At 40.5% G+C, this 10,267-nt stretch overlaps 1 annotated feature.

The window, feature by feature from the left end:
• Positions 226–520: an enhancer, noted in NCBI's record as "tiled region #12929; HepG2 Activating non-DNase unmatched - State 24:Quies, and K562 Activating DNase matched - State 8:EnhW". NCBI's record gives its function as "activates a minimal TATA promoter and a strong SV40 promoter by Sharpr-MPRA in HepG2 and K562 cells {active_cell/tissue: HepG2 | K562}" and the evidence as "EXISTENCE:reporter gene assay evidence [ECO:0000049][PMID:27701403]".

The following is a 10,267-nucleotide window of genomic DNA, read 5'->3' as shown; positions in this document are numbered from 1 at the left end:
TGTATCCTTCATAAAATCAAGAAATAGAACATAAAAATCATTCCAGAATTTCCCCTGTGTCTCTCTCAGTCACTTCCCACTCCCCTAAAGATAACTGCTATCTTGATGTGATCACCATAACTTGTTTTTGTCATTTCAAATTTATGTAAATGAATTTGTAACTGCCCAAGGGGTTCACCTTGCCCTCTGCAATAGAGAAAGAGTAATTCACACAGGGCCGGCTGTGTGGGAGACCAGAGTTTTATTATTACTCAAATCAGTCTCCCCAAGCATTTAGGGAGCAGAGTTTTTTAGGACAATTTGGTGGGTGGGGAAAAGCCAGTGGGGCCAGAAGTGCTGATTGGTCAGGGATGAAATCATAGGGAGCTGAAGCTGTCTTCTTACGCTGAGTCAGTTCCTGGGCGGGGCCACAAGATCAGATGAGCCAGTTAATCATCTGGGTGGTGCCAGCTGATCCAACAAGTGCAGGGTCTGCAAAATATCTCAAGCCCTGATCTTAGGAGCAGTTTAGGGAGAATCAGAATCTTGTAGCTTCCAGCTGCATGACTCCTAAACCATAATTTCTAATCTTGTGGCTAATGTTGGTCTAGTCCCCAGGAAAGAAGGAGGTATGCTTTGGGAAAGAGCTGTTACCATCTTTGCTTAAATTATAAACTACAAACTAAGTTTCTCCCAAAGTTAGTTCAACCTACACCCAGTAATGAACAAGGACAGCTTGGAAGTTAGAAGCAAGATGGAGTCAGTTAAGTTAGATCTCTTTCACTGTCTCAGTCATAATTTTGCAAAGGCAGTTTCAAAATCATTCTCATGTTGGGCTTCTTTTACTATGTTTGTGAGACTCATCCACATTGCTATGTTAGTGCTAGTTCATTTCCATTGCTGAGTAATATCCCATTTTCATACATTTATCACAATGTGCTTATTCATTCTATTGTTAATGAATATTTGGGCTGGTTTCAGTTGGGACTCAAACTGCTGCTATGACTATTCTTGTGCACTAAGGAATGGAATTTTGGATTATAGGGTATGTGTTTATATAGCTATTAGTAGATACTTCTATTAAAAATATATTTCCAAAATGTTCATACCAATTTTGCTCCCAAAAACAATGTATGAGAATTCCAGATGTTCCATGTCTTTGTCACCACCCTTTCCCCCCCATTCTGAGAGCAAGGGATGGTTTCAATTTGCATTTCCCTGAATATCTTGTGAAGTTCAAGTCTTTTGCCATTTGCCTCTCCTCTCATAAAATTGTATTTACAATGGACCCTTGAACAACATGGGTTTGAACTGTGCAAGTCCGCTTATGTGCAGATTTCTTTCTGCTTCCACCACCCCTGAGACAGCAAGACCAACTCCTTCTCTTCCTCTTCCTCAGCCTACTCAAAGTGAAGATCATGAGGATGAAGACTTTTATGATGTTTCATTTCCACTTAATGAATAGTACATATATCTTCTCTTCCTTATTATTTTCTTTTCTTTGGCTTACTTTATTGAAAGAAGACAGTATATAATACATAGAACATACAAAATATGTGTCAACCGACTGTTTATGCTATCAATAAGGCTTCTGGTCAACAGTAGGCTATTAGTAGTTAAGTTTCTGGGGAGTCAAAAGTTATACCTAGATTTTCAACTGCACAGGGATTGCTGCCCCCTAACCCCTTCGTTGTTCAAGGAGTCACTGTATTTGAGTCAACTGTCCTTTTCTTATTGATGTGTGATTTCTTTAAGTACATTAAATACTGAATCTTTGTTGGATAGATGAGTTGCAAATATTTTTTCTAAGTCTGTGGCATGTCTTTTTACTCTCTTAGTGGTATCTTTTTTGAGAAGTTCTTGGAATTAATGAAGTCTGCTTTATCAGTCTTTTTCTGTATAAGCAATTTATTTTTGTAATCTGTTTAAGAAATCTTTGCTTACATGATACAGCCTATTTAATGTTAGGAAATTTTATCAACCATGTCACAGTGTTGGAGACCAAAAACTAACTAGAACTTGCCATATAAGACTTCTGAGAATCCACCTGACACAACACACGTTTATACTACTCTAAATGGTGTTAAGTTCTATCCTTTGAGGCTCATTCCACTGCCTCTCCACTGCCCCAAATATCACATTCAGATTCAATGTTTTTTCTGTGGTCTTTCCCTGTTTGGCCTTTCCATTCCCCTTTTTTTTTTTTTTTTGAGACGGAATCTTTCTCTGTCACCCAGGCTGGAGTGCAGTGTCACGATCTCGGCTAACTGCAACCTCCGCCTCCAGGTTCAAGCGATTCTCCTGCCTCAGCCTCCCGAGTACCTGGGACTATAGGTGTGTGCCATCAAACCTGGCTAATTTTTTCAGTAGAGACAGGGTTTCACCGTGTTAGCCAGGATGGTCTCGATCTCCTGACTTCATGATCTGCCCACCTCGGCCTCTCAAAGTGCTGAGATTACAGGCTTGAGCCACCACGCCCAGCCCTTTCCATTCTCTTGACCTCATACACCCCACTCCTGGGCTACCTTTGTGTTCTATGTCAAATATTCTTGGGGCTCTTTTTCATACTTACAATGTCAAAAAACAAAATTTCAATAGATGTAGTTCAATAATCTAACTGGCTTTTGTTAGCAATTCATGAATCAGGCAGCATCTATGAAATATAAAGGCACTCTGCCAAGCTGGCAGGATAGTTGGTTTTTGTAGGGTAGCTTGAACAGGAACACGAAGAAATAGTGTAGTACAAAAAACCAGTAGGATGCTAATGATTAAATATGCAACAAGGCTCACCAAAATTAAGATAAATAATTATAGAAATAAAATTTTCAGAGGGTAATAGAAGAAGCAAAGTTTTCTGAGGGAGGTTTCCTGGGTGAGGTGATCTGAACATCTGCCTACTGCAGGTAAATATTATGGGACAGAGTCATGGGGCTGAGGGTCAGGGGAGGAATGCAAGGAAAGAAGCTTGAAGAATGGAGCTGAGGCTGCCTTTTAGCCCCACAGGAGGGAGGGAGGGAAGTTGGGACAGGGTTGAGCATCCCACACCCTATGAGGGGCTGGTTAGACCCAGCAGCTGAGGAGACCTAGGGGGCTGCTTCCACCTCTCACCAACCTGCTTCTGGGTGTGGCAGTAATGTCTTGTGGGTGAGTCCTTTTCAGTTCCCCTCTCCCTCACTCACACTCTCTCTGTGGGATTTCCATGGTGATAAGATGAGAGAACATGTCAAATGTACCCAAATGAGGAGAGTTAAATGTGGTCTTTGTGGCTTTGGCTCAGCTGTCCAACTGCAGCCTTCCTAAGGTACCTCTTGAGATCAAGACACAGGGAGAAGGAACAACACACACACTCCCTGCTGGATTTAGAGAGAACTGAGAGGAGGCTGCGGTTTAACTGGACCTTCCTTAGGAAAGACTGTCGCAACATTTGTAGAGCACATGATGTGGCTAAGAACATAAAACTTCAAGTTTTCTCATATTTGAATTACAACTGCTTAGCAATCTAACCTAAAACTGGAGACTTTCTTCTTGTGATATTTGTACATATGATATTCTTGTTAATCTAAATATTCCAAAGCAGAAACTCTAAAATAGGAAGGTATGTAAACAAGGGGGTTGATCACTCTCGCATTAGTGTTTACACCCAGCTCAAGAAAGAAACAGAGGTCTCTCTTTGTTCCTAATGTTCTTCCTGTGGACATCCACCTGGACTGACATTTTCCAAGATTCTCTCAGATCAAGGATGGAATCTGGCACTTATGCTGGAGGCAGCAATTGGAAACATATTAGGAATTTAGAACAGTGGTGTTAGGAATAGGCAAATGTGTATGTAGAGTGTGGTATGGTTTGGTGTACATGCATATATGTGCAGGAATTTGGCAGAAGTGTGAAAAGAATTCTCTTTGGTACCCACCCAAGCACCTACCTGTCCCCATCATTGCCCTGTTCTTTTCTCCAATGATCTTTCAGACCCCTCGTGTTACCCTGCTCTTACTCCGGGCCCAAGTCCTAACGCAAAGCTCGTTTCAATCCATCCAGGCTGCTATAGCAAAATGCCTTAGACTGGGTAATTTATAAACAACAGAAATGTAATGCTTACAGTTCTGCAGGCTGGGGAGTCCAAGATCAAGGCACCAGTAGATCTAGTGTCTGGCGAGGTCCTGTTCCTCATAGACGGCACCTTCTGTGTGTCCTCACATGGAGGAAGGGACTTATAAGCTCCTTGGGTCTCTTTTATAAGAATACTAATTCCATGCATAAAGGCTCTGCCTTCATGACCTAATCACCTCCCAAGGGCCCCAACTCTTAATACCACCACAGTGGGGATTCAATTTCAACTATGAACTGAGGGACACGAACATTCAGACCATGGAAAAAGTTTTTAAACCTTTCTAACTGTGATCATGGGAAGAAATATTTGCTTTACAAAGACATACACACATTGAAAAAAGTTTGTGAAACAATATCTACCTGTACCATCTATCTTCTACTTTAATGCTTTCTATTTTTTTTTATTTAAAAATTGTGAACTGCATCTATCAAACTAATTTCACAACCCATGGCGTTTCATAAAGCATGACCTCACCTAGTCCCAGGAAAGGTGTTGATAAGCTAGGTGGATTATTGTTTTGCTTTGCTTTGGTTTTCAATAAGCATCAAGGTTTTGCTACCGCTTGAGCTTTTTGAATTTTATCTGTGAGCTCCAGAAGGCTCTCTCGGCAGCCTGGGTAATGAAAAGAGTTTGTACATAGACTTTTGCTTGCATCCAACTTGGGAGGGCGGCCCCCAGGACTCTTGGGTGCTACTCTGCAAGCTGTGTGGGAAGGACTTGCAGCAGTGGGTGCTCCTCCAAAGCACACTAGAGAGCGCAGTGGGCAAGAGGTGCAGTAGCTTTCCCAACATTTGAATTAATTTATCTTGTTGACATAATACTATAGGAAGTTCTTTGAAACACAGCATTAGTATGATTCATCATAACCATTTTCATTTTAACCTTTGTTTACTTTGAGAACTAAGAAGGTGGTCTTGCAGCATCAGGTTCATGGGCTGCTCCCTGTTTCAAGAAGAAGAGTAGGATGTCACTGGCACACCAATGCTAGTAGGTAGGGACTGAAAATGTCTTTGGGAAAGGCTAAAGCAGGGTTCCTGTGGGGAGAAAGGCAAGAGCTACAATAGACTTAGCTAAAATAAGGCTGCAATGGAGTTGCAGTTACTGGCCAAATGAAGAAGCCAGTAATGTGGCTTTCAGATCATAACAATGAAAAATAAACAAGCCAAATCAGGAACATTAAAGATAGTTAAACATCGATCTGAAAATCAGGGAGGTATATGAATAGAAAAAGTGAGTATTCCTCTACAGTGACTCTGATATAGAAAAGTGATCAGATTTGTAGTTCATTTTCCATTCACTAAGCATCTGCTCAAATTGAAGGGATTTGTCTAAGGTCACACAGCTTGGAACTGGATTTAAATCCAGATCTTGGCCAGGTGCGGTAGCTTACGCCTGTAATCCCAGCACTTTGGGAGGCTGAGGCGGTTAGATCACTTGAGGCCAGGAGTTCGAGACCAGCCTGGACAACATGGCAAAACTCCGTCTCTACTAAAAATCTAAAAGTTAGCTGGGCATGGTGGTACGCATGTGTAGTCCCCGCTACTCAGGAAGCCAAGGCAGGAGAATTGCTTGAACCTGGGAGGTGGAGGTTGCAGTGAGCTGAGATGGCGCCATTGCACTCCAGCCTGGGTGACAGAGTCAGACTTCATCTCAAAATAAAATAAAATAAAATAAAATAAAATAAAATAAAATAAAATAAAATAATCCAGATCTCTCTGATTCCAAAGGTCATGTTCTTTTCACAAAATTCACAGAATTCCACAGACTCCCAAGATTGTTTCTAATCTAGTAGGACTATAAGTGGGTGGTTTTTGTGTGTTTGTTTTTCCTCCCTCCTTTTCTATATTTTTTGATTTTTTTCCTGATTATCTTGAGTGCTTTTTTCTTAAATGAAAAGCAAACCCAATATACTCTGTGTTTTAAAAACATTGCCCACTAGAGAATGATTGCCAGTCCAGAAAAGAAACAGCATTTCATCTATCTCAAACTGTTTTACCACCACTGGTTTTTTTTTTTATTTATTTTTATTTTTTTTCATTGTCTATATTTCTTTTCTGGCCATTTTATTACTTGTATCATCTCATGATTATTTCTGAAAATATTTTTATGTATAGGGGAAGGGGTTGCTCAAAATGATGTACTCTGGACCTAAATTAAAATATAATTGGTACCACCTGTTCATGGAATATTCATACCACTAGTAGTTTTGATAAACATTTTAAAAATGAAAGAATTGCTAAACCCATAGCGACTTAACAAGGGATATTTCATTATATAAGAGCCTGGTGGGTTGGTGGGGAGTAGAAATTTTTATTCTTTTTTTTTTTTTTTGAGACAGAGTCTTTCTCTGTCACCCAGGCTGGAGTGCAGTGGCGTGATCTCGGCTCACTGCAAGCTCCGCTTCCCAGGTTCACGCCATTCTCCTGCCTCAGCCTCCCGAGTAGCTGAGATTACAGGTGCCCACCACCACACCTGGCTAATTTTTTGTATTTTTTAGTAGAGACGGGGTTTCACTGTGTTAGCCAGGATGGTCTTGATCTCTTGACCTCGTGATCTGCCCTCCTCAGCCTCCACGAGTGCTGGGATTACAGGCGTGAGCCACCATGCCTGGTCGCCACTGGTTTAATCTATCTCTAAACATTTTTCAGACTAGAATGCATTTCTTACTTGAGATATTCCTTACTCTAATAATCTGGTCATTCTGGGGCCACATTTTTAGGCTTAATTCCATTTTCTTTCCTCTCTTTATTAGTCAAAACACAGTTAAACTTTCTAGCTCATTTTTTTTTTTATTGGGGGCAGGGGTTGACATAAAGTCCCCAGTGGAAGGAAGTGCATGGAGAGAAAGACTTCTAATTATTAAGGTTAAATAATGGTTAGTATAGCCGGGACTGAAGAGCTCTGATCTTTGAAAGCCTACAGAGAAGTTTTCTCTTTATAATAAAAGGGCACTATAATAAAACGGATTTAGGAAAGTTCAGGAAAGGGGCTGCATAAGCTTATCCTCTTCACAATTAACTTTTTGTTTAACTGCCCTTAATTCTGGGCCATTTTCTCACTCCTATTATCTTCATATGTGAATTGAGCAATCATGACCTCATGCTACTTAGATCCAAAGGTTACCTAAGAAAACACTTGCATGGACTATCTATAACTTGCATCCTGAGAAAATAACCCCACTAATGTGAACATGAACAGGGAAAGTAAGGTAAGTGTGGATTAACCAAACTGGAAAATATGAGCATAATAATTTCGTCAAATGAAACCACAATCTTCTACCCCTCTCTGTCTCCCCGAAACTTGTTTGCAGTGTATACCTTGCTAATTTTTTTTTTTTGCATGTGATCATTTTATCCTCATGGTAAAATAAGAAATAAGTAGTGATTGCTTTATTCCAGTCTTTGGCTGGCTAATTCTTGTTATCATAAAGGGATGGGCAAATTAGAGCATCTTCTGTGGCCTAAGGCTCACTTGTTTCCCCAGAGACAAAAGAGACTGAATGCAAATACTCTAGACAGGTCTAAAGAGCAGATTTTTTGTGGACTGAATAATCAAATCAGAGGTACAAATCACTTAGAAAGTGCCCCAAGAAAACTAAGCACTTCGGACCATGTGTTGCCAAATTTTATTAAGCAAATATCAAAGTTGCAGTGTAATATACATAAGAAATATTGCTGTGGCTGCATTTCTGGAGTGTGCCCTAGAAGGGAAAAGTGGTCAGGGTCTGGATAAGTCTTTCATGTTCTTGTGACACTGGGCATAAACAATCCTAAGTAATGAAATTTCCAGGTTATAACCTGGAAATCTTCTGCAATATGAGAGAAGGCCAAAGAAGAGTTATGAGGGACAATGGGAAGGAGACTTGCTTTGGGAGAAAGAAGTGCATTTCTGTAGAAGGAGTAAAAACCACAAGGAAACTCCCCATCCAGTGTAACACCAGACTGCAGTTCCCAAAGAGAACCATTCTGAAAGGGTATAATCAACTGGCCAATTTCATGGCCTCCGGATCAAATGTAATCAACCAATTAAGAATGGATGTGGACCAGAATTCTCCTGGTCATGACAACAGCAAGGAGAATCAACCAGAAGTGCATCCTTCTGCTGTGTCTGGAAATGCGATTTTAAGTTGGAATCCAAATCAAGGCCTTTCTTGTGAGCACCTCCATTCTGATTCCTTTCTCTGAAACGCCTGGCTCTGGCGCTTTGGCAAGTTGGGCTTCGAATCAGGCCATTTACTTAAGTCAAAAGGCTCTCTCTCTCTCTCTTTCTCTCCCTGTCCTTCCCACTCTCTTTTAGGAAAAAGAAGCCCAAACCTAGAAGCCTTGGGCCCTGATCTCATCTGTGGCCCATGCCAGCAGCATAGTGGCAGAACACACTGCTTTGCTCAAGATGGCTTTTAAGCTTTAATCTTCTCAAATTAGAGGGGATTAAACCTTTTCTAATATTTCTGGCAAACTTGAGGAATATGCATCCATAGAGGTATAAACTTTTCTTTCTCCTTTTCTGTTCACCACTGTCTTTCAGAGATTGCTGCATTAAGAAAGCATTGAACTGCATCTGCTTCTAAACTGGCTCTGACTGACTGAACTGAGGGTCAGAATCAGAGAAGGAAAAACCTACTGAATGCTATACCTGGGGTAGTGGAATGGAGTAGGAGGTGAAGTTAAAAGCATTTGGCACTCCCCTAATTTTAGACAAAATTCATTCAGTAACTTCGATTCTTGTAAATTCTGGTGGTTTAGGGGTCTTGTCTTTGTGAATTAGCTATGAAATCTACATTGATGGAAAAAGTTAGTAAAGCGGGCCAGTCTCTTAACTAGGAGAGAATGTGGACCTCTATGGGAATGTGCTCTTGTTTCCAGGGTTTCCACAAGAAAAAAACTTGAAGCAGTATTTTTTTTTTTTTTTTTTTTTTTTTGCTATAGGGAAATGCACTTCTCATTTATTGAGTTCTATCTTTTTATTCTTCATTGCCTTTTGGGAATGATTTAGCATGTTTATTACTTGATACAGTGAAAAGTAGTTTGAGCTCCACATTCACTTTGAGAGAGTCTGACCACAGAAATCAAAGAAGATGAAACTGTCCAGAGCTCTGCTGTACACCACATGAAGTATTTTCAAAGAGGCAGGTATGGTATGTCTTAACTCTGTCAACTTCTTGTACTATCATCTTCCATATGGTGGGTTCACACCAAAAGCAAAGGAAATGATGGCATTTCCTTTAACTGTGAGTGGGATTTTAGGGAAGACTTCTTTTGTTGTTGTTAAAATTACTCATATAAGCTAAGTATGTCTCCAACAGGATGATGGCATAATGCCTGCTCCTATACTTGTACCTCACCAGTGTTTGGATCAGTTGCATATGGGCCTATTATTAGATTACAGTTAGGTGTGTAGTGGTATATCTCACTTGTTTCTTTATCACCAGCTCCTAGCTGAATTCCTGCCTCATACTAAAAACTCAATAATATTTTCTTACTTAAATTAATTATGGACTCTGATATTTTACTTAGCTTTGGCATGTAGCAAATGGTGCCCCTACCCCAAATATATGTCCCTGTCTTTATACCTGGAACCTGTGAATGTGACCTTGTTTAGAAAAAGGCTCTTTGCAGATGTAATTAAGTTAAGGGTTTTGAGATGAGCTCATCCTGGATGATCCAGGTGGGCCCCAAATTCAAAAACAAATATCCTTATAAGAGACACACAGAGGACAGACCACACAGAGGAGAAGGTAATGTGAAGATGAAGGCAGAGGTTGGAGTGGTGCATTTACAAGTCAATGAATACCCGTAATTGCTGGCAAAAGCTAGAAGAGAAGCATGGAACTGATTCTCCCTCAGAGCTTCCAGAAAGAACCAGCACTGTTCACACTTGAATTCCAGACTTCTAGCCTCCAGAACGGTGAGAGAATGAATTCCTGTTGCTTTAAGCCACCACATTTATGGTAATTCATTATGGTGGCCACAAGAAACTAACACAGGATCTATAGGAAATGCAGAGAAAGCAGAGTATTTATTTTTCAAACATCCCTGTGGAACTGACAGTTTCCATTCCATAGTATGTATAGGTTGACAGGCAGAACGTGGGCCACCATGTTTAACCCAGGGTGCTGTACTCTACTGCAAAGTTTACTGAACAAAGACCTTCTGCTTCTGAGTTCTGGTCCAGCTTCACCTT

The sequence above is a fragment of the Homo sapiens genome, chromosome 3 (genome assembly GCF_000001405.40).
Source record: "Homo sapiens chromosome 3, GRCh38.p14 Primary Assembly".
In the NCBI taxonomy this organism is placed as follows: Eukaryota; Metazoa; Chordata; class Mammalia; order Primates; family Hominidae; genus Homo; species Homo sapiens.
The sequence above is the reverse complement of the archived record's forward strand: the minus strand, read 5'-3'. Positions and strand labels throughout refer to the sequence as shown.